Consider the following 26601-nt stretch of genomic DNA (forward strand, 5'->3'; position numbering starts at 1 on the left):
GCACCACCTTTCTTTTTACCTTCCTTTTATACATTTTGGCAGGGCATGTACACATATTGGGAAACCACTGCACATGCATATGCATGTCTTTTTTTATTTTTTCATTTTTTTAATAGAGTAAGATTCAGATTCCTGAACTGTAGGCTGCAACAGAGAGTGTATCTTTGGGAAATTTTCTTCACCAGCCCTTTGAACAAGTCAGGGTAGGAGGGGAATGGGGCTTGGAGAATAAGACAAGAATGACAAAGTATGTGTACAATTAAACTCATAGTGAAGAATTTCTCATTCGTTAGAAAGCTTGATGGAGAAAAGTAACACAACCTTTAGAGAATTTGAACCACTGCTCTCCTGGGCCCATTTCACAGTCTAGGGAAAGTCATGGGAAATGTATGTCCCTGTGAAACAATTTTACTTCAAGAAATGAACACATTTTTCACAAAAATTAAAGCTTTTCCTATTTAATGTCCTTCCTTTTCAGATTTTTTTTTCTGATACAGAATTTTATTCTGTCACACAGGCTGGAGTGCAGTGGCACTAACAGGGCTCACAGCAGCCTCCACCTCCCTAGGCTCAGATGATCCTCTCAGCTCTGCCTCCCAAGTAGCTGGGAACACAAGCACATGCTACCACGGCTGGATAATATTTTTATGTTTGTAAAGACAAGGTCTCCCTATGTTTCCTAGGCTGTTTTTGATATTCTGCACTCAAGCAATTCACTCACGTTGGCCTCCCAAACTGCTGGGATTACAGCTGTGAGCCACCCACCCATCCTGGATGGCTTTCTTTTGAGGAACATTACCTCATAGAGGCCTGGAGCACAGGCTCTGGACTCAGAATGTTGAACTTAGCATCTTAAACTTCATTTCTTGGGCAAGAAATTGAACTTCCCTATGCATTAGTTCCTCTGCCTGTGAAATAATTTTAATAATAGTACATACCTACACATTGAGCATTAAGTGAGACAAAATGTACAAAATGCATGCAACATTGCCTGGCAAATGGTAAGCAGATAATGAGTGATATTACTATAATTAATACAAATATTTTACATTAGAAAAATCAAGGATAATTATTTGCAGATTATCCAGCTAAGTTTATCTTTCGTTAGACTCTTCAAGCAGTGCATCTAGTCATTCACTCAACAAATATATATGGACGATATGGTTCTAGGAGCCAGGGGTTCAGTCAAAACATATCATGGTCATTTCCCCCTTGCTCTCACATACAAGAGGGGAAGACAAACATGAAGCCTGGTATGTAGTATGTAACTGGAATATTCAGAATGTGCAAATATGGCAAGTGATGAGAAGAATAAGAAATTAGTTGGAGAAATGGGAGACAAAATATTTTAGGACTCATGAAAACTGTAGAATGAGAAGCCAGAGAAGGCCAGAAGAGGTCTCTGTCTTTGCAAGCACATGTTCAATTGATAATTCCAGAAATAAACTCAATGCGGCCAATTTATTTTATGAACCTCTTTGATGCAAGTTGGACTAATAAAAAAAATGCAGACAGTACTTCACATTTATCAATTTCTTTAAAAAAAACTTTCTTGTGTCATTACCTTGTTATCTTTGGAGAATAAGGACCAGGAGTCACAAAAACATCCACCTTTTGACATGTGGGCCACCAATGTTACTTCCTGTGCTCTAAGCGATGAGTTAAACGTGTTTAGGTTAGACTAGAATGCACTGTGTAGAAGGAAAATAATGTGGCTTTTAACCTAAGGGCTTTCTCATGATTTTTTTTTATCTTTACTTTGTCAATGACCTAGTCAGATTGCAGCAAAATCTTGAGCTCCTTGACAGTGGGAGGATTTGGAGCATGGAAGAAAGCAGAAATTACCTGTGCATCACTTCTCTTCCATTCATTTACTTTTACATTTATGTACTGATTCTTTTATTTTCTCTATTAACTTAAGGATTTCACACATAGTTTTCTCCCCCAGGCAGAGCCATGAATCAGTGAGTTCATGGCTTGTACAAAGTATGACAAAATGGCACCCAGGACACAGAAGCCATGACTAGACCATATATATAGGGATGTAGAACCATGAGCCATGAGTCTTTTGTCCTGGGAAGCTAAGCATTGAGCCACTAGATTACAAGTGCCCACTGTTTCCTCAAAAATGAAGATGTCATAAACTGGCAACAACTCAATATCCAATTCAGGAGCATAAATAAACAATTTGTGCTATACACATACACTGAAATGCTATTCAGTCATAAAAAGGAAATATTACCAAAATATGCAATAACATGGATAAAAATATTATGTTTTAAATATGAGTGAAAGAAGCCATGTAGGAAGGAACACATACCCTGTGATTCCAATTATATAAAGTTCTAAATTAGAAAACAACTAACGTATAGTGAAATAAATTCAATCACAACTTATCTGAGGAGGAAGTGGAAGGAGATTAAGAAGAAAGGGTATGACAAAACTTTCTGCAGTGACATAATTGGTTTGCCTATTCATTAGGAAGTTATTATACTAAATATCCTCTAATCATTAATAACCAACTTGCATTCTTAAAAGGGGTATGTTTTCTTTTATGTAAATTATACTGAAATAACGTTAAAATTTTGAAATGAAAAAGGTCAGTGGTAGTAATAATAGACTGCTCAGCAGGCTGGCCAATTATAAACTTTGCCATGGGTCCCTGAAACCAATACTCTATGAAATTCCTCTGTCTTGTTTGGTCTCCTTAAGAGCTTAATCTTGTGACCATATGTGGATACTTTCTATTGGTTTACACCATCCAGCCCTAAAATTTTTTCTTGAGCAGTTAAAAGCCTTGGCACGGTTAACATTGGCTTCTCTAGGCTCCTTCTGGGACTAGCACTAGAAACTGCTCAATGCTGTAATTCAGTAGGTAAGACTTTGCCTTTTGACAATAGTGGCCTAGGCTCTATTCTTGGCTTCTGGAATGATTTCTTTCTGGTTTGCTATTTGCATAACTTTGCCATTTAATGAGGTTCCCCCACAACCCCACGGATAGCTTCTGACTTCCTCTCTTGAATTTTCCTTGCTCTGAACTACCTTGGGGAAATTCTAAATCTTGTAAAAAGAAACTGCTTACCATGTCTTTGAAGTGCATGGGAGGTTACTTTTGGTAAAGTTCAAAAGCCAGAAATATTGGCTGCTTGGCTAAAGTTGAGTAATAAGAAATTTAAAATGATTTTTTAAAGAGCACTATGGTTAAAATTCAGCTTAATTAAAAGTGAATAAACAAACTATGGATACACTTAAAAGGCCTTCATGTTTTTCTCTTCTTGGATCTCGTTTTTCTGTAAAAGGTTTTTTTCTTCTTAGTCAAGTGAATTATTTTTCTCCATTTTTGTCTTGCCACTCTTAATGCACACATGAGAGGCCCTAAGATAACTTCTGGTAGCCTGGGACTCCTTGGGAAAAACAGAGGAGGAACCATAGACCTTGTTTTGGAAAACAAACAAACAACAAAAAACAAACAAAAAAAACCCCCCTCTGTTTTCTTCCTTAAACCCCAGGAATTCAATGTACATAGATCCCTCTCAAAATCAAAGGCTCTGTTCTGTTTTGCACTGTGTTATCTGACAGTTTGAGTTTTGGGGGTATCAGAAATTACTTTGTATTATGAAAGAGCTTTGATATGTACTAACTAGGCTGGAAATATATATAATGGATGGCTAAGAGTATTTTTGGAGGGATACTTGGCTCTTTGCACACTTGGATTAGAGAAACATGCTCTTGGAAACCTGGAAGATATGGAAATATCCTCACCTCTGACTGAGAGATGAGACTCCCATGGGCTTGGGCTGATTTCAAAATGGGCTGATTGGTTTTAGGTTGCCTTGCAACAAAATGCAGGGTAGAAGCACTTCACTGTCTTCTCCGGTAGTACTTCCATCCTTTTGGGGATCCCAAATCCAGTATAAAATGGCACCCTTAATTTTGGAGATCTGTCTTTCCCTTCACCTGTGGCTGTGTATTTACTTGGAAAAAAATGCATGCTTTCCTGACCCTGTTTCTCCAAGGGATCCACCCTGAAGCTGGTAATCCAATTAAAAATCTGGCAAATAAAAAATCTTACAAGTGCTGAATCTTCTGTCTGTGTATTTATATAAACTTCTATAATTCTGATATTATTTAGTGTATATTATTAGTAATTATCATTGTTATGTAAAATTGATGGATGCCACAGAAGTAAGCAAAATTTCTAGTCAATTGTAACTTTAATAGTGTCTATAGGCATTTGTCATCCACAGATATTTTATCCTGCTTTGGTCCTTTTGAAAAGGCAGTTTATAATCAGATATAAGACTCTGAGTGCAGGTATCAGATAACTTTAAAAATTGTCCTATTGGAATAGAAGAAAAAATGAAACTTCTAGGACTCTCAGGGAGAGCGCATGTGTTAAACATCACTAATCCTTTTGTTTTCAGAGTTAAGATAACTTATTTCTTTAGAGCTATTTGCAACTTTTAACAAGTGAGTAAAATATGCTCCTGTGAAAAAATTTTGAACCATGTTTGTTTCTCTCTACCTGATTTCTCCAGAATTTGGAAGCTATTTGTAAGTATTCACAATTTATGGCAGAATAGTTAATTGCATAAGTACAATAAGAATCTGTTTTCTTTTTTAACAGGACACAATTGGAGAAATTGGTTATTTTACCAAGAATTTGACTGGAATGGCATGCTTCCTTTAAAGAATCAAAGTTGACTTATAGAGACAATAAAACCCCTTGGGGAATCTGGCTTCATACCTTGTCTACACAGAGTCCTTGTACAAGTTTCTTGATCTCTGGTAAGTAAGAATATCACTGTCTAACAGGTTCAGGAGCTCCAGTTTATCTTGGAACCTTGAGAGGAGAGGAATTTATCCAACTCATAGGTATTTGAGGGTACAAATGCATGGCTGGGCTCGGCTCTTGAAAAGTCTTATCTGAGATTCCTCATGGAACAGAGTTGCATCAAAGCCAATTTAAACAAAAAACAGCCTAACTGAAAAATAATTATTCTTGTTGCACCTTATGCAAATAATCAGGTCAAGTACAAAAAGACTAAAGCTTATTTTTGTAAACAAATTATTTCTGTCATAATTTGTTCTTAATAAAAATGAGTCTGGAAAGAGAAAAATTATCCTTCAAAAGAAAACATATAATATACCTGTTGTTAGTTGTCCTTGAGTTTTTTTTTTTTTCCTGCAGTTTGGAATAAATCCTAAATTCTTTGTAGATTAGAAGTCCCCAAACTAGTGCTTTCAAATCTTTGCTTTTAAAATTGGGAATTTTACTCCTCATCCTAGGATTTGTTATTTACCTTACAGGAGGCTGTTCACATAAATACTGTAGTAAAACTACAGAGAAGAGTAGTAATGTTTTTGCATTGCAAGCATTGGAAGCCCAGTCAGGCCTGCATGAGTATGCTCAGACAGTTGCAAAGTGGTTCCAATCTTCTCAACTTGGGGTTCACTCCAATTTCCACTATGTCCCAACAGCAGGTAGAAGCCAGTGTGATCAATGGTGTTTTCCCATCTTCGCAGCCTACATCTTAAGACTAAGCTGTTATAAAACCCAAAGGAATGGATTGACACTACCTTTACAATATTGCAACTGAGGAAATTATGACAGTGAAAGAAATCAGACCTAACCAACTCCATCTTGCTTCTAACACTTAAGCTGTCCTTCTTCATTCCTGGGCATAGGCTGAACTAACTTTGGGAAAGAATTCAGTTCATGGTTTGACTCTGAAACAAAATTGATTACAGCCCTTTCCCGAAAAGACCCCTTCTTGCCTGGGATCCAGTCTGCCTTTGCAGGACTAACAAATTAGCTACAAGATTAAAAATTACAATTTAAGTGTCATGCAACCTCTGGCTCCTAGAGTCTGAACGTCCCCAACATGCTCCGGGGATAATATCACTATTGTGAAACCTAAGATCAGCACTTAAGATATTTTTCAGACACTGCACTCAGTGGATCAGCTGACACTACCCAGACCCGTAATCTAACCCAACCAGGCTGCCATCGCACCCAGGAAGAGAAGACAGCAAGAAAACCTCACTTTGACACCCTATGATTCCATCTCCCACCTAACTAATCAGCACTCCCTACTTCCTAAGCCCCTACCGGCCAAATTATCTTTAAACATTCTGATTTCTGAATGCTCGGGGAGACTGATTTAAGTAATAACAAAACTCTCATCACCCACACAGCCGGCTGTGAGTCAATTACTGTTTCCTGATTGCAATTCCCCTACCCTGATAAATCAGCTCTGTCTAAGCAGTGGACAAGGTGAACCCATTGGATGGCAACAAATCCTTAATAGCAAACCAGGTAAGTTTGATTTCATTAACAGACGTTAAGTACACAGTGGGTTTCAAGCAGAAAGAAGCCATGTTCATTCCCCTATCCATTCAGGAATATATATATTTTTTGAGATGGAGTTTCGCTCTTGTTATCCAGGCTGGAGCGCAATGGTGCCATCTCGGCTCACTGCAACCTCCACCTCCCAGGTTCAAGGAATTCTCCTGGCTCAGCCTCTCGAGTAGCTGGGATTACAGGCATGCGCCACCATGCCTGGCTAATTTTTTTGTATTTTTAGTAGAGACAGGGTTTTACCATGTTGGCCAGGCTAGTCTCGAATGACTGACCTCAGGTGATCTGCCCACCATGCCCTCCCAAACTGCTGTGATTACAGGCATGAGCCATTGCGCCTGGCCCCTTTCAGGAATATTTAATGATCATTAATTCTTAACTTATTCTCCTAGTGTTGGGGGTACCATTTTGGAAACATGTTCGTACACTTTAAAGCTTGCAATCAAGTGGATAGATATGCAAATAAGTAAAATGAAACATAAGAATGTAAATAATGAGATGCTTAAGAAAACCATAAGTAAACAATGTCTCAGGTGGAAGATAGCTCTCCAGAGAAGAGAGGGCTTGGCACTGAATCTGGAAGGACTAGTAGGAATTTATCCCTTGGACAACTGGGGGTTGGTCTCCTGGCAGAGAGCAGTGTGGGAAGAAGCACAAAGGCTTGAGAGCGTCTCATGTAACCACAAAACTGGGAGAGCTGGGCTTTAGAAGGAATAGAAATGTGAAGCCAAGACTGAAGTGGGAGTGATCAGACTCAGGGCAAGTATTTGAAGATGTTTGCAGAAAGGTAGATTAATGGCAGAGTTTGAGAAGCATGCCAACCTGAAATCACTCCTCTCAACAGACTTTTGACCTAAAGCATATTTTGAAGGCATTCTCTAAGTTTCCCCTTCAATTATAATATGGCAATAATAGCACAACTGTATTGATTGGTTTTAAATATTAAATCAGAGAGAGTGCATGAAATAGCTATCATACGGTAAGTATTTTTCAAAGAAACCGTTATTATAGATTATTTTTTATTATTATAATAATCACTGAATGAAAGCTGCAGTGTTAATAAAAATGGAAGGAATCAATTAGAGGAAAAAAACTCATCAGGACCACAGTTTTGGTTCCACGTAAGGTGATGTAATGCTTAAACACATTATAGGATACAATTCCTCAGGAGTTTAAGGTAACAATAGCTGTCTACACTTGTTTGTCTATAATTATCAGACCATGACTTGTTTTTGACTAGTGGCTTTCAATTTCTCCTATCTATTATCTAATGATCCCTTGATTCTGAGCTTAAGTTAAATGTTATGAGGTGAGATATAAAACCCGGATACAATTGATCTATAGGGAGAATCAAAGGAATAAAGAAACTCAACAACAAGAAAATATGACTGAAGTAAATACAGTAATTTTTTATGAAGCTGAAATCATGCTTTACAGGAATTAATGGAAAAAATGAATACACATGTTTCAGAAGGTAGAGAAACTTGTCTGAAAGTTCAGATTTTTTTTAAGAAAGGCAATAAGGTGCCACTGTATGTCCATGAGCAAAGTTAATTACATTAATAGATCACTAGCAGGTAAGCAGAGAGAGTTAACTAACTGATCAACCTTCCTAATGACACTAATATGCAGACAAACCTATGCCAGGCCAGTTTCATAAGAATTATCTGCAGATCTTCAAATGGCAATAAATGCCTGCAGGATATTTAAGATTGAGCTATTCAGGGTGAGGAAGGGGGTAGTCATCAGACATTTTTATATGACTACAGATTACTGTGATATTTTATAAGGTTTAGAATCCACTGATCTGGTTCAATTTCTCCCTTTTCCTATGAGGAGAATGAAGCCAAAGAAGCGTTATGACCTGCTGGAATACTAGCTGCCTAAGTAACTCATGACTATCTCTTAGGCTTTTTCAGCTTCGTTATATAAGACAGGAGACCCAAAAGTTGTGTGCAGAATGGATCGGAGAGTTAAGTCCTGGAGAGAGGGAGACCACTTAAAAACAACAACAGCAACAACCACACAAATGTGATAGTTACCTATGAAATATTGCATTAAAGTAGTCAGTACCTCGACCAGAGAAAGGGGTAAAAATGGAATCACTTTAAACAAACCAAGGATATAATTCACAATAAGAGATGGCAAAGAGGTTAACAATTCAGAGGCTCTCAGGTCTGATTCTGGGAGGAATGTTTATGATCCGGGCAATTAACTTGGAATCAAGAGAAAGATTTCAGAGTGCATTTTGCAACTTCCAGGCTTGTCTCACACAAATAACTTCCTCTACCTTTCTTTACCCTTCCTTTGATTAACAGAAGCTGAAAGAAAGGAACTAACTTCTTTCTGGGTCGAAGACATCTGGAAAACATAGGATCTCCTTCAGTGTCTTTAGCACCAGATCCTGTGATTCAAACTACACACAACCAATAAGAAAAAGAATTCAACATGCGTGCTACCGGTTCACCTCCTTTCTTGTGTTTATTACACATCAATAAATCAAGTGTTTACTGAGATCCTACTCTCAAGTTCCTAGTCAGAAAAGGAATCACCTGCCGTAGGTAACAGCCTGTGTTCTTTCCTACAGCATTGAAAAGAGCCTCAGACTAAAAAATGAAAGGAAATTGTGTATTTCTTTATTGTAAAGGGCAGAAACGTGCAATTACAGATTGTGAAACTGCTGCTTAGAATTCCAGGCTCATTGTAAGGAAGTGCCTTGTCGTCAGCAAGTTGGCATCCAAGTACTGGAACTTAGTTTCTTCCTGTGGGAGGAAAAAAAAAAAAAGAAAAAGACAAAACATTGTCCTGTGGGTTGACACCTCAGCCTGTTTCTTTTCCTTGTTTCCTGTGGCCCCTCTACTTCTTCTATCCATCTGTCTCTTCTCTTCCTGATCTCTCAGTTTTTCTTTCTCTGATCACAAAGAACCACAATGACTGAAGGAGTTTAATCTCACAAGTCTTCTTTCATTTCCTCATAAGAATTAACCAAATAGTTCATATTTCCTGCTTAAACTGTCTTACTGTATCATCACGATGTTTTCCCCTCTCTATCTCCCTTTTATTGGAGATAGTGCTGCAAGAACCCTGCGGTCTAATCCCTGGCATGCTTTCCTTTTACTACCTAAGATGGCCATAACATTTCATTTTTACTGAGGGTGAAATTTCACCTTTGCTTTTTAATATCCCCTGAATGAAAGCTGATTGTAGAAGGAGTCTCAGGCTGTAGTAGAATTAATGTGTGATTATACAAAAGAAATATGCACAGAAGAACAGTAAGTAAAAGGAGAAAGAAAAAGCCATGATGGCTGAGTAGAAACAGCTCCAGTCTGCAGCTCCCACAGAGAAAAACACACAGGGCGAGTGATGTTTGCATTTCAAACTGAGGGACCCAAATCCTATCACTGGGACTATCTAGGCAGTTGGTGCAACACACAGAAAGCAAGGAAAAGCAGGGTGGGACGGCAGTTCACCCAGGAGCTACACCGGACAAAGGGACCTCCTTCCCTCAGGCAAGGGAGGCAGTGAGGGACTGTGCTACCCACCCGGGGTACTATTTTTTCCAGGATTTTTGCAGTCCAGGGCTCAGGAGATCCCCTCGTGAGCATATACCATCAGGGCCTTGGGTCTCAAGCACAAAACTGGGCAGACCCACGGCTGCTTTTCTGGTCGGAGGCTGTTTGGGCAGGCACTGAGCTGCAGGAGTTTTTACATAGTCCAGCAGCTCTCGGAACTCTAGTGAGGCAGGAGTCCATCCACTCCCATGGAAAGGGGGCTGAAGCCAGCCAGGGAGCAAAATGGCCTTGTTCAGTAGGTCCACTCTAACAGAAGCCTGCAAGCTTAGATCCACTGGATTAGTACCCCCCACAGGCCAGCATAGCAGCCTGGTGTAGGCCTAAGATGACCGACTTCCCCAGGGGAGGGGCGACTGCCATTACTGCAGCTCTAGTCAGCGGTTTTCCCCTACGAGTGCTAGGGAGGCTGGGCAGATTGGACTGGGCAGCAGTCTTCACAGTGCATCACAGCCGCTGGAACAGATCATGGCCAGAGTGCTCCTTTAGGTGGGACTGGGATCCATCCCTCCCCACTGGGCAAGTCATCCTTGCAGGAATTCCACCAACACCAGCCAGGAGTTTACAGACAGAGCTCTCATTTCCCTAGGACAGAGCACCTGTGGGGAGGGGCGGCTGTGGTCTCAGGTTCAACCAACTTAATCTTTCCTACGTGCTGGATCTGAAGAGTCCCAGCAATCCAGACAAGGGGGCTTCCCCAGCACAGTGAACCAGCTCTGCTAACGGATAGCCAGACTACTTCCTTAAGTGGGTTCTTGATCCCTTTCCTGCTGACTGGGTGAGACCTTTCAACAGGGGTCACCAGACACCTCATGCAGGAGAGTTCCGACTGGCATCAGGTCAGTGCTCCTCTGGGATGAAGCTTCCAGAGGAAGGAGCAGGCAGCAACCTTTGCTATTCTACAGCCTCCTTTGATGATACCCAGGTGAACAGTGTCTAGAGTGGACCTTGGGCAAACTGCAGCAGATCTGCAGAAGAGGGGACTGATTGTTAGAAGAAAAACAAAAAACAGAAAGCAATAATAACAACAGCATTAACAAAAAAGACCCTACAAAAATCCCATCCAAAGGTCAACAGCTTCAGGATTAAAGGTAGATAAATCCGCAAAGATGATGAAAAACCAATGCAAGACCGCTGAAAATTCCAAAAGCTGGAATGCCTTTTCTCCTTAAATGATTTCAACACTTCTCCAGCAAGGGCACACAACAGGGCTGAAGCTGAGATGGATGAACTGACAAAAGTAGGTATCAGAAACTGAGTAATGACAAACTTTGCTGAGCTAAAGGATTATGTTCTAACCCAATGCAAATAAGCTGAGAACCATGATAAAAGATTACAGGAACTGTTAATTAGAATAACCAGTTTAGAGAGGAATACAAATGATCTGATGGAGCTGAGAAACACAGCATGAGAGCTTCATGATGCAAACACAAGTATTAATAGGCGAATCTATCAGGCAGAAGGAAGAATATCAGAGCTTGAACACTATCTTGCTGAAATAAGGCAGGCAGACAAGATTAGAGAAAAAAAATAAAAGGCAATGAACAATATTCCAGAACTATTAGACTATGTAAAAAGACCAAACCTACGACTGATTGAAGTACCTGAAAGAGATGGGGAGAGTGGAACCAAGTTGACAAACATACTTCAGGATGTCATCCAGGAGAACATCCACAACCTAGCAAGACAGACCAACATTCAAATTCAGGAAATTCAGACAACCCCAGTAAGATACTCCACAAGAAGATCAATCCCAAGACAGATAATCAGCAGATTCTCCAAGGTTGAAATGAAGGAAAAAATGTTAAGGGCAGCCAGAGAGAGAGGCCAGGTCACCTACAAAGGGAAGCCCATCAGAATAGCAGCGGACTTCTCAGCAGAAACCCTACAAGCCAGAAAATTCTGGGGACCAATAGTCAACATTCATAAAGAAAATAATTTCCAACCCAGAATTTCATATCTGGCCAAATTAAGCTTCATAAGTGAAGGAGAAATAAAATTCTTTTCAGACAAGCAAATGCTGAAGGATTTTGTCACCAGCAGGCTTACCTTGCAAGAGGTCCTGAAGGAAGCACTAGGAATGGAAAGGAAAATCTGTTAGCAGCCACTACAAAAACATACTAAAATACACAGGCAAATGACACTATGAAGCAACTGCATTAACAAGTCTGTGAAATTAACCAGCCAACATCATGATGACAGGATCAAATTCACACATACCAATATTAACCTTAAAAGTAAATGGGCTAAATGCCCCAATTAAAAGACACAGAATGGCAAGTTGGATAAAAAGACAGGACCCGTCAGTATGCTGCATTCAACACTGTTGGTGGAAATGTAAATTTGTTCAACCATTGTGAAAGAGTGTGTGGTGATTCATCAAAGATTTAGAACCAGAAATACCATTTGACACAGAAATACCATTACTGGGTATATACACAGAGGAGTATAAATCATTCTATTATAAAGATACATTACATGCATGCATATGTTCATTGCAGCACTATTCACAATAGCAAAGACATGAAATCAACCCAAATGTCCATCAGTGATAGGCTGGATAGAGAAAATGTTCTACATATACACCATGGAATACTATGCAGCTATAAAAATTGATGAGATCATGTCCTTTGCAGGGACAAGGATGAAGCTAGAAGCCATTATCCTCAGCAGACTAATGCAAGAACAGAAAACCAAACACTGCATGTTCTCACTTATAAGTGGGAGCTGAACAATGAGAACACATGGACACAGGGAAGGGAACAACACACACTGGGGCCAGAGAAGAGGATGGGGAATGGAGGAGGGCATTAGAGAAAAGAGCTAATGAATGCTTGACCTAATAAAGAGGTGATGGGTTGATCTGTACAGGAAACCACCATGGCACATATTTACCTATGTAACAAACCTGCACATCCTGCACATGTATTCCAGAACTTAAAAAAAATAATAAAATAAAATGGCATTATGATGTTCGACATTGAAGGATTTCAAGAAATCAGAAATTCACCTTCACTTTTAATGAGTTTAGGATTAGAAAAAGGCTCATGACTGCAACTGAATTTGTAGTTCTTCCAGTTCTTCAAAATCTTCACATCACTGAGTGACTGATTTAACCCCAAACTATTTTCCCCTGCACAATGCAGGTGTATAATTTTGCATTCAATGCACTGTAGTGTTTCTTCAGAGTGTCATGCTCTATCTGCTATTGCTTTTATGTTTGTTGAGTGTTATACATTCTTAAATAGACTGTGAAATCTTAGGGATCTAGGGTTGAATCCAAATTTACTTTGTATTTCTCAAAACTCTTAGCAAATGTTAGATATGTGCAGTTTCTCTTCATGAATTTGTCAATAGTAAACTCTGGGATTTGGAAAAATGTCCCTTTTCACATCATGCTTTCACTATGATAACTGTCTTTCTTCTCCCCACCTCTCCTGCTGTATTCTAAATTCTTCAAAGTTACATACTTTCTATAATTTATATCTGTATTCCTAAAGCAGAAAGCCTTGAAAATGGTTTTCTGAAGGAAAAAATGGTGCTACTAGCCAGTTCATGTCTTATGAATCAAGTTTAAAGACTCTAAATCCATTACCTGCTCAAAATTTCATCTTCTGTTTTTTTCTAGTGTGGTTAAAAAAATAGGACATTCTTTCATTTTTATATCAGGCTTAATGGAATGCTTATGGAACTGTGTGTTTTTAAACAGACATGACTCAAAAATAGGTGCATAAAGAGAGAATTCTTGGCTTCCTGTGGGAAAAAACAAATAAAGCAAACATTTAAAAAACTTCCACCAAAAGATATGCAAGTTATAGTGTCATACCACCAATGGGACTATACACATTCTGAAGAGGAAATAGCCCATGCTGTGTCTAAGTATTCCCCTACTGAAATGAGAGAGAAACACCTATAAGTGAGCATTTGTGATCTTATTACCACCTCAGAAATCAACATCAACTGACCCTCAAAAGGAGTGGTTTAAGCAAAGAACTTTTAGAGAAGAGCAATGTACTCTGCACTGACCAGAAGGAAGGTGTTTTTTCAGAATTCCCTGTTTTTTATACTATGGGTAGAGTATCTCTTTTCCAAAATGCTGGGGACACAAAATGTTTTGGATTTCGTACTTTTCTGAATTTTGGAATATCTACGTTATAATTACTAGTTGAGCATTCCTAATCCCATAACCTAAAATCTGAAATACTTCAATAAGCATTTCCTTTGAATATCATGTCAACATCCAAAAAGGTTTCGGTTTTGTTCAACAAAATACTAGCAAACTGAATACAGCAGCACATCAAAAAGTTAATTCACCATAATCCAGTGCACTTCATTCCCATAATGCAAGATTGATTCAACATACACAAGTCAATAAATGTGATTCACCAAATAAGCAGGATTTAAAATAAAAAAGCAGACACAGAAAAGCTGTTGATAAAACCCAACATCCCTTTATGATAAAAAACCCTCAACAAATTAGGCAACAAAGGAAACAGACCCCAAAATAATAAGAGTCATCTATGACAAATTCATAGCCAAACATCTAAAAGTATTCCCTTTGAAAACCAGCACAAGACAAGGATTCTCTCTCTCAACACAACTGTTCCACATAATCCTGGAAGTCCTAGCCAGAGTGATCAGACAGCAGAAGGAAATACAGGTTATCCAAATCGGAAAAGAAGAAGTCAAACTGTCCTCCAATGTACAAAATTCAATAACACTTCTGTACACCACAAACGTTGAAGCTGTGAGCCAAATCAAGAACTCATCTCAACTGCAATAACCAAAAAATAAAAATAAAATACCTAGGAAAACATCTAAAAGAGCTCTACAAGGAGAGCCACAAAACACTAAAATCAGATATGACACAAACAAATGGGAAAATATTCCATGCTCACAGAGTAAAAGAATCAATACCATTAAAATGGCCATACTGCCTAAGGCAATCCACACATTCAATGTTATTCCTATCAAATGATCAATACCATTTTTCACAGAGTGAAAAATAAAACCAATTCTAAAATTCATATGGAACAAGCGAAGAGCCTGAATAGTTAAAGCCACCCTAAGCAACAAAAACAAAGCTGGAAGCGTCCCCTTTCCTGACTTCAAACTGTACTATCAGGCTACAGTAACAAAAACAGTGTGGTCCTGGTACAAAAACAGACACATAGACCAATAGACAAAATGAAAAACTTAGAAATAAAGCTGTATGCCATCTGTTCTTTGACAAAGTGGGCAAAAATAAGCACTGAGGAATGGACTCTCTATTCAATAAATGGTGCTGAGACAGAATGAGAGAAAACATTTACAAACGATGTATCCAACAAAAGTCCAATATCCAGAACCTGTAAGTAACTAAAACAACTCAGCAGAAAAAAATAAATAACACCATTAAAAAGTAGGCGAAAGACATAAACAGACACTTCTCAAAGGAAGACATACAAGTAGCAAAAAATATATGGAAGTGTTCAGCATCACTAATCATCAGAGAAAAATGAACCGAAAGCACAGTAAGATACCATCTCACACCAATCAGAATGGCTATTGACAAAATGTCAAAAGTATATCATTTGGTCATCATGTATAATAATTTTTATATGTTGCTGTATTCAGTTTTTTAGAATTTTTGATAATTTTAATGTGTGAATTTATTAGATGTAATTTTTTAATTTCTGAGATTAATGTGCAGCATGTGCAGGTTTGTGACTTAGGTAAACCTGTGCCATGGTGGTTTGCTGCACAGATCAACCTATCACCTAGCTATTAAGCCAAGCATGCATTAGATATTTTTCCTAATGCCCTCTCTCCCTTCAAATCCCCCTGTCAGGCCCCAATGTGTATTGTTCTCCTCCATGTGTTCATGTGTTCTCATTGTTCAGCTCCCACTTATAAGTGAGGACATGCAGTGTTTGGTTTTCTGTTTCTGTGCCAGTTTTCTGAGGATAATTGCTACCAGGTAATTCATGTCTCTGCAAAGGATATGATCTCATCCTTCTTTATGGTTGCATAGTATTAGATGGTGTATATGTACCACATTTTCTTTATCCAGTCTATTGCTGATGGGCATTTGGGTTGATTCCAGGTCTTTGCTATTGTGAAGTTCTGATATCAAGTTAATATTGGTCTCACAGAATAAATTGAGAAGTGTTTTCTCCTTTTATTTTTTGTGTGAAAATAAAAGTCAAAAAATAACTGATGCTGACAACACTGTGAAGAAAAAGCAATGCCTATACAATATTGGTGGAAACCTGAATTAGTTCAGCACTGTGGGAAGTAGGTTGGAGATTTTCATACCCAAAGGAATATACATCATTCTATTACAAAGATACATGGAAGCGTATCTTCATTGCAGCACTATTCACAATAGCAAAGACGTATAATCAACCTAAATACCCATCAGTGATAGATAGGATAAAGAAATGGTTTTACATACACAGCATGGAATACTGTGCAGCTATATCATGGAATAACATGCTGGAATACTATGCAGCCATAAAAAGAAATGAGATCTTGTCCTTCACAGGAACATGGATGGAGGTGGAAGCCATTATACTCAGCAAACTAATTCAGGAACAAAAAAACGAACACCTCATGTTCTCACTTAAAGTGGGAGCTGAGCAATGAGAACACATTTACACAGTGAGGAGAACAACACACGCTTGGGCCTGTGAGGGTGTCAGGGGAAGGAAGGGCATCAGGAGGAATAGCTAATGGATTCTGGGTTAATACCTAGATGATTGGTTAATCTGTGCAGCAAACCACGATGGCAAACATTTACCTATGTAACAAACCTGCACATCCTACACAAGTACACCAGAACTAAAAATAATTTGAAGGAAAAAAAAAAACCTTAGATTAACAGAGGAAGAAATACTTCCAAACTTATTCTACAAGGACAGCATTACTCTGATACCAAAACCAGACAAAGGCACATTAAAAAAAAAAAGAAAAATAAAATATCAGCCAATATGATTGATGAATATTGATGCAAATATCCATAACAAAACACTAGCAAGCCAAATTCAACAACACATTAAAAAGATCATTCATCATGACCAAGTAGGATTTATCCAAGAGATGTAAGAATTGTTCAACATATGTAAATCAACCAATGTAATACATTGTATCAACAGAAGAAAGGACACAAAACATAAAATCATTTCAATTGATGCTGAAAAAGCATTTAATACAATTCAAGATACCTTGCTCATGAAAATTCTAAAAAAAAAAGAACAGGTACTGAAAGAACATACTTCAACATAATAAAAGACATATACTAGAAACCCACAGTTAGTTATACTGAGTGGAGAAAAACTGAAAGCCTCTCATCTAAGATCAGGATGTCCGCTTTCAACACTGTTATCCAACATAGTGTTGCAAGTCCTAGGCAGAGCAATTAGACAAGATAAAGAAATAAAGGGCATCCAGATTGGAAAGGAAGAAGTCAAATTATCCTTGTTTGCAGATTATGTGAACTTATATCTGAAAAATCCTAAAGACTCCACCAAAAAACTCTTAGACCTGATAAACTAATTCAGAAACATTGCAAGATACAGAAATTAATGTACAAAATTTAGTAGCATTTCTATATGCCAATGATAAGCAATCTGAAAAAGAAATCAAGAAAATAATTCCATATACAATAGCTAGAATTAAAATTAAATATCTAGGAATTACATTAACCAAAGAAGTAGAAGACCCTTGCAATGAAAACTATAAAACATTAATGTAAGATATTAAAGAGGATGCAAAAAAATAAAAAGAATTGTTTATGGATTAAAAGAATCAATATTGTTAACACATCTCTACTACCTAAAGCAATCTATAGACTCAATGCAGTCCTTATAAAGATACCACTGACATTCTTCACAGAAATAATAAAATAAGAAGAAATCCTAAAATGTATATAGAACCACAAAAGATCTAAAATAGCCAAAGGTACCCTGAGGAAAAAGAACAAAACTGTAAGAATCCCATTACCTGACTTTTAATTACACTGCAGAGCTGTAGTTATTAAAATGGCATAGTACTGGTATAAAAACAGACACATAAATCAATGGAACAGATTACAAAATCCAGAGATAAATCCATACATCTATAGTGAACTCATTTTTGACAATGGTGCTAAGAATATAAATACATTGGTGAGAGGACAGTCTCTTTAATAAACGGTACTGAAAATAAACTGTATATCCATATACAAAAGAATGAACCTAGACCCCTACCTCCTGCCTTATACAAAAATCATATCAAAATGAATCAAAGACTTAAATCAAAGACCTCAAACTATGGAACTCTTATAAAAAATGGAGAAATTCTCCAGTCCTTTGAACTGGGCTTAACACTCCATGAGCATGAGCAACCAAAGCAAAAATGGACAAATGGGATTACATAAAGTTAAAAACCTTTTGCACAGCAAAGGAAACCATCAACAATGTAAAGACAAAACCCACAGAATGGGCAAAAAATTGCAAACTATCCATTTGAAAAGGGATTAAAAACCAGCATATATAAGGAGCTCAAACAACTCTATAGGAGAAAATTTTAATAATCTGATTGAAAAAATGGGCAAAAGATCTAAATAGACATTTCTCAAAAGAGTACATACAAATGCCAAACAGGTATATGAAAAGGTGCACAACATTATTATTAGAGAAATGCAAATAAAAACTTATCTGTGGGAGCTAAATTTTCAAATATTTGAACTCAATGAAGCAGAGATTGAAGAATTATTACCAGAGGATGGGAAGAATAGTGTGGTGTGGGGGAATTTGGGGAATGTTAATGGGTACTGTTTCTGTACCCATTTAATCACATTGGGTACACATAGACATACAAGTGGGCACAATGGACACTGGAGTCAATAAGAGGGAGGACAGAGGTAGAGGGTCAAGGGTTGAAAAACTATTATGTACTATGCTCACAACTTGGATGCGAGGAACGATTGTCACCAAAACCACAGCACCATGCAGTATACCCAGATCATGAACCTGCACATGTACCCCTTGATGGAAAATAAAGTTGGAATTATATTTAAAAAAACACTCAATATCAATATGAGATACTCTTACGGTTTTTATGGAATGAAGGCATTTATACTAGCAATTTTTGAGGACTTTTCAATGTCACTTTTTGATAAAAAATTGTGGGAGGTAATAGGAAAGAATGTAGATATTGGAGGATTTCAGATTTTGAAATTCTGGATGAGGAATAATACATTTAGAACTGGAAATCTTGACCAGAACAGAACTTCGTTACTATTCTCCAACGTCTGCAAACCCCCAACACACACATACACACACTTGCTCACAGACATTCATACAACCTACTTTTTTTAATGTCCTAGGAAGAGAAAGAAACATCTTGTCAATGTCACTCAGTGTTGAGCATCTGTGCCCTACCATCTGGAAGCTCAAATGAAAATCAGACCTAAAAAGAGAAAGTCTGTGGACCTTTTGTGATGTAGAATCTTACACCAGAAAAACTGCAACAAATACAGCAACATAAATGACAAAAACAAGAAGTATTGGCACCTGCGACAGTTTAAACTGTGCTGAGGAATCATGATGCTGCCACCCCTGCACATCTCCCTGTCATCTTATCCTTTGACTGGAGAGTGTTCTGAAGGAATCCCTTTACTCCCTGGAATGCGTTCCTTCAACTTCTTAAGATTGCCTTAACAGTTAATTTTTACTGAGGGTAACAATTTACTTCTGCTTTTTGATATTCTCTGCGCAAAGACTGATCACAGATGGAGTCTCAGGTTGTAGTAGAATATGCACGTTAGTACAGAAAATGTATGCTCAAACAGTTAATAAAGTCCAAAGAAAAAGGGATCGTAAAGTGTTCAACTATGAAGGTTTTTAAAAGGTCAGACATTCACTTTGATTTAATAGGATAAAGATTAGAAAAGGCTCATATTTGCAGGTGAAAGGGTAGTTCTTCCAATCCTCCCTAAATCTTAACATCCCTGAGTGAGCGATTTCACCCCAAACTCATTTTCTTTGCACCATGCAGGGACTTCACTGTGCACACCATGCACCCTAGAGTTTCTTTAGGGTGTCATGCACCATCTGCCAAGCGCTTCATTTTTGATGGCTGTCTTACCTTTTCAAGAAGTCTGTAAACTACTGAAGTTAATTCAAAATTTACTTTCTCTCTCTTAAATACCTTAACAAAGGGTAGAAATATGGAGGTTCTGTTCATGGATTTGTCGGTAGTAAACTGTGGGATTTGGGAAAAGTCCCTTATCACACTGCACTGTCACTGTCATAACTATCTGTCTTCTCCCCATCTCTCCTGCTGAGCTCTAAATTTTTTGAAGTCAGGTACCTGTGGTAACTTGTATCTGCATCCCTAAAGCGGAAAGCGTAGCAAATGGTTTTTCAAATGAAAAAATGGTGCCAATAGCCAGTTCAGATCTTACTAATTAAGTCTAACATTCTAAATTCATCACTCCCTCTGATTTCCCACCCCTGTTTCTCCAGTGTGGAAGAAAATTGAGGACATGTTTTTACTTTTATATTAGATTTATTAAAATGTTCAAAAAAGTCTATTATTAAAAAGACATAATTCCAAAAACCATTACAGAATGAAGAAACTCTTGGTTTCCTATGGGGAAAAAAATAAAAAACAAACATAAAAGAGAATTTTGCTAAAAGAAATGTAAGTTATAAAGTTATACCACCAATGGGAACATATGCAATCTTAAAAGGAAAGGCCACATGCTATTTAAAAATGTTACCCTGCTGAGGTTAAGGGGAGAAACATCTAAAAGTCAGCCTTTATAGACTTATGGCCACTTCTAGGTCCATATCAGCTGACCCTCAGAAAGGGTCTAAAAGAAAAACTTCGGGAGAAGAGCAATGTGCTCTACACTGACAAGAAGAAAGGCATTACTTCAGTATTTTCTGTATATTGTACTATGGCTTGATTATCCGTTATCCAAGTTGCATGCTACCAGAAGTATTTTGAATTACAGATATTTTTGTATATTGGAATATCTGCATTATACTTACTGGTTTATTATCCTTAATCCAAAAACCTAAAATTTGAAATGCTTTAATAAGGATTTCCTTTGAATATCATGTGGGCACTCACACAGTTTTGGATTTTAGAGCATTTCAAAATTTAAATTTTTGGATTATAAAATTCTAGGCCTGTAGACCTAGAGTCCTTTACTAAAATGGACTTTCAGTACACTTTCCTCAAACTTCCCACACACCTGACATACCTGCCCACAGACATTCATACAGCTTCCTTATTTTAATGTTCTGGGAAGAGGTAGAAGCGTATTGTCAAAGTCATCCTTTCAGTGCTGGGCATCTGTGCTTTATCATCTGGCTGCTCAAATGAAAGTCGAACCCGAAAGAAAGGAAAGTCTGGAGAACGGTTTTTCTGAAAAGTTTGTTGACTCATGCCAAAAAGACTACAACAAATATAGCAAAATAAGTGACAAAAACAAAAAGTACTTGTGTCTGCAACAAGTATAGCCATGTGCTTATCTAAGCATTGAATGACCTCCTAGGGGCTTTTTAAATCTGTGGTTGGATCTAATAGCCATGAGGGACACAGGCAAATTAGAGTCCACTCATTTGTCTCTGCAGGTCAAGGGGAGGGTGAAAATAAATGATTGTTTTATTGAGGCTGTGGGTCTTAATAGATTTGATTTGGCCCCCAGGCTTGTTCACTCTCCAAAGAACTTCAAAACTCTTTTGGAAAGAAGGGCTTTATGGGAAGATAAACATGTCTGGATCTGCTTCCTATGCTTCCAATTGCAATAGCCAAGCATTCAGGGAAGTAGAGTGAAATAGCATCCACTAGAGCCCTACCTTGCAGAAAATTTCCTCCACATCACAGGAACAGGCATATTCTTGCAGATGTTCAATGAGTCTCATAATAAAAAGAGAGCCCTTTGTGGGGTGTCTCCAAGAAACATTATCAGTTGATAAAGCACATTTCACATCTCAAGACTGGCTCTTGCCTGAAGAAAGAGAAGAAACTCTAGTATTTCTGCTCCAGCTGAGGCATGTTTTGGAATTCATCTATTTTCCATACACTTCATTGTAATTTTAGTGAATACATTCGAAGTTCAGCGAGTATATTTTTACTGATACTCTAAAGGGTGCTGTATATGGTGCAGGTATTAACGTGGCCTAATCCCTGAGTTCAAAAAGTCGTAAATGTAGTAGAGCGTTAGGAAAAGGCAGAATGTGGTAAAGGGAAGGGATTGCGGTTTGGAAAAGAAATATCTAAATGTGCATCCCCAAAGTGGCGTTACTGACTGTGATTTAAGTTAATTGTCCATTCCGATATGTAATAGACTCAGCTATACAGGGAACGGTAATAATTTCATGCACAAGAGATATCTGAGGCTACAAAAGTGTCTGAGCTAAGAGAGAATATGTAATATTCAGTCTACACAGGGAAATTATGTTAATAAATTATCAATTTATGTTCTTCACATTAAATTTTAATTAAAATATAATACATTGACTGTAAGATATTTACACAAAAGAGTTAACTATAAAAATGATAAAACAGAACAAAACTAGAAATCTAAGAAGAATCAATAAGAAGATGATCACATCATAATGGAGAATAAGAAGTTGTTATGAAGAAGAGAAATATTAAAGAGAAACAATATTAATTTATTACATGGTAGACACAGAAGTAATGAATATGTGAAAATTATACAAAGGAAGGCATAAGAGAAAAGCAGTAGCAATAGCTCTGTGTATAATCACAGACACATTCTTTAATGACACATTTCAGCCAATTATAATGGTCATTAAATGTATATTAATAATAAAATTCTATTTAGAACGACAGCTATCTTAGTTGAAGGAAGTAGATAAGAGATAGGGTGGAAACAGGTGTCTCTGCAAATGTTTTGTGAAATTAAGGGAGTAGGTAGTTATTTTTCCTCAGGAGAGCACTATGATATAGTTGGGATTTGCATGGCAGAATGTGGAGCTTGGCTTAATATGGGAGTTATAAATGACTAAACTGGAGTTTTTGACAGTCATGTGGAAAGGAGGAGTAAGGAAAATGAAAGAAAAGAAAAACACAGAAATCAGCAAAATTGATGATGAGAAGCCAGGGGCCTACAAAGAGCTACATAGAGAGCAGTGAATGTCATGTGGAAGGCTGGGATCAAAGGATATTAAAGAACAGTTCTGTCTAATGTAACAGAAATCCAGGTTAGTGCAGAAACTTGGATAGCCACATAAAGAATGGAAGACAGTGTTAGGCATCTACCACCCCATTCCCAAACCAAGATCTTCTGGGAACCAAGAAACACTTTTTCTTTCAGTGAAGAGGTAAGCAAAAGGATCCCAGCAACCCTTATCTACATATTATATCTTCAGACTTCACTATTATAATCTCCTACTGCCTGGATTCTACATAGCTGTGTTGCCTCAGAGAAGGAGCTGACAATCTGTCTCATGCCCTGTGGCCACATAGCTACTGTGCTATGCCATCTTGGTATTGGAATTACAACTGTAGTCTGTCTTGTTCTTGGGGCAAGTAGCCATGACATCCCTTCAACTTAGAGGTTAAGGCACGGCTGAATCACTCCAGCCTGGTGGCCCAAAATTCTTAAGCCATGCTGGAAGCAGCTGTTACATCTTACCGTGTGAGGCCAAACAGAGGTGGAGCTTCTATACCTATCCTTCCCTCTAGCACCTTGGGCCAGAACTGAAGCAATCTCCTGGGAAAACAGTACCTTAACCACTCAGAGCTGTCACACCTCCCAAATACCTATGCCAAAGTGAAAACCTGCATCTCAGGGAAAGAATGTATGGGCTTCTTAGAATAATCACATCCCCCAAGTCTGAACTCTAGCAGCATATTACCCACTTGGGGAATCAATGTCCTGGCTAAACTTGCCAACTGTGCACCGCAAGGCTGAGACGATGCAGTAGCCCACATCCCAAGGACGCAGACCAGTGGTCAAGCTGAGACACTCTGCCCTACAGGCAAAACAACTCTAGTACCCTGCTTCTCTGCATCTGGACTAGTGTCCTACAGTATGAGCTGCTGAGATACCCCACTTGCTGGAAAGTAAAATAATCACTGTGCTGCTTCCTGCCTCTTCTCACAGCCCAAGTGGCAGCTGCGCTCTGCCATTCTGGGCTACTTCCTTCCACTGTACCTGGCCTCACCAAATCTGGGATACTACTGAACCCCAACATCTCAAGGTTTATAGTCACAACTACAAAGTATCTCATCTCCTGGGACCTGAATTGCCAGAAAGGCTTACTAGTTCAAATTTCAAAATCGTAGATATACCCTGTTTCCTGGACCCAAACCTCCAAAATATCTCCTTTTACACAGAGTCAGGGAAGGGCTGTACTCTGTCCATGAGGGGTAAAATTACAGCTAAAAACTAGTCCCCTGGGTCCAAGCTGCTGGTGAGCCTAGTGGGTGCCTCAGAGTCACATGTCCAGTCTCTGTGGGCAACCTATATGCAGCCCAGCCACAGAGAATGAACAAGGACCTCAAGACCCAGATGCCACAATATGTTTGTAGGACCCTAAACTAGGACTCTAGCCACACTTTTGCTCCAACCAAGAACCTGAATTTGGAACTCAACTATTTGTAAGCCACGTCAGCTCTAACAACAAAAGGAGTCCCCTTGATTAAGTATCCCCATTGTGGAGAAAATGATAATAAGAGAGATCCAAAACCTCTTGACACTGAGGGCATTAACAACATATGCCACTGACACTGCTCCTATAAGCTGCTATAGCTGCTATAGCCTACTGAAGTGTCCATAGTCATTGCCAAAATTGAATGCACCTAAAGAAGTGGCATGGAATCTATACAACTATACCTACCCCAAAATAGAGCCACCATACTCTTTCCTAATGGCACACTAAAACCCAACTTCAGGTGAAAGTGGAAGAGGCAGTTGTTTCATCATATTCACAGATGTCAACACAGGGAAACAAAGAAACATGAAAAACAAGAAAATATGACACCACCAAAAGAACTTTATGACTTTCTTGTATCAAATTCCAGTGAAAAGAAAATCAATGAAGTGCCAGAAAAAAATTCAAAATAATAATCATAAGGAAACTAAGATAAAAGAAAATATAGATAAGGAATTTAATGAAATCAAGAAATCAATTCACAATCTGAATAAAAAATTTAACAAAAAATAGAAATTAAAAATAAAAGCAATTCCTGCAGCTGAAGAATCTCATAAATAAAATGAATAGTCAATATAAAGCTGCAAGCAGAACGTACAATCTCTGAAGTTAAAGGTTATTTCAAATCACCTTCTCATAAAAATTAAAGAAATAAGAATAAAAATGAAAAAAAGCCTAAGATATATAGGACACCATTAAGTAAACAAATGTTGATATTATGGGAGTTTCAAAAAGAGAAGAAAAAAGGCAGAGGATAAGTTTATGAAATGCTGGCTGAAAATTTCCCAAGTCTGTAGAGAGACATGAACATATAGATCCAGGAAGCTCAATGGTTCTCCAAAAGGTTCAACCCTAATAGGTCATTTATGAGGCATATCATAGTCAAAGTGTTAAGTCAGAGACTAGGAGAGAATTATACAAACACACAGACTAGTATTAAGTCACATAGAAGATAATCCCTATTAGACTAACAGTACATTTCTTCAAAGAAATCTTCCAGGAGAGGAGAGAATAGGATAATATATTCAAAGTGTTGTAAAAAATAGCAACCAATAATATTACATCCAGTAAAATTATCTGTCAGAAATGAGGACGAAGTAAAATAAAAAAGTCTTTCCCAGAGAAGCAAAAACCTAAAGAAATTCACCACCACTAGACCAAACCTACAAGAAATGCTCAAGGGAGTCCTACACCTAGAAGCAAATAGATAATAATAATTATCATCAAAAAACCTCAAAAGTATAAAACTCACTGGGAGTGCAGATATACAATAAAGAAAGAGAAAGGGGTCAAACCTTATCACTACAGAAAACCACTCAAACACAATACAAGAGGAATACAATACATAAAACAATACAGAAGGAAGGAAACAACAAAGGATACACAAAACAACCAGAAAAAAATAACAAAATAACAGGAATAAGTCTTCACTTATCAACAATACCCTTTAATGTAAACCAATTATATTCTTCTCTTAAAAGATATAGACTTGCTAAATAAGTAAATACATGACCCAACTTTATGCTGCCTACAAGACACTCACTTCACTTGTAAAGACACATATAGGCTAAAAGTGAAGAATTCAAAAAAGATATTCCACAGAAACAGAAACCAAAGCAAACAGGAGCAACTATATTCATATCTAAAAACAGATTTTAAATGAAAAACTATAAAGAGACAAAGAAGGTCATTACATTGTATGGGAATCAATTTAGACACAGGAAGATCAATTTCAAATACATACACACCTAACACTGGAGCACATAGATATACAAAGCAAATATTATCAGATCTGAAATGAGAGATAGACTCCTATCCCATAAGAATTGGACCTTCAACAACATACTCTCAATATTTGACAGATCATTTAAACAGAAAATTAACAAAAATCATTTGATTTAGACTGCACTTCAGTAAAAATGGGCCTAACAGTTATTTACAGAGCATTTCATTGAAAAGATACAGAATGTGCATTCTTTCATTAACACACAGGACATTCTATAGGCCAGAT

At 37.8% G+C, this 26601-nt stretch overlaps 1 pseudogene; it reads right to left on the bottom strand.

Annotated features, from left to right (window-relative positions):
• On the bottom strand, positions 21763–21879 carry CASP1P1 (caspase 1 pseudogene 1; annotated as a pseudogene).

Source organism: Homo sapiens, chromosome 11 (assembly GCF_000001405.40).
Source record: "Homo sapiens chromosome 11, GRCh38.p14 Primary Assembly".
Classification (NCBI taxonomy): Eukaryota; Metazoa; Chordata; class Mammalia; order Primates; family Hominidae; genus Homo; species Homo sapiens.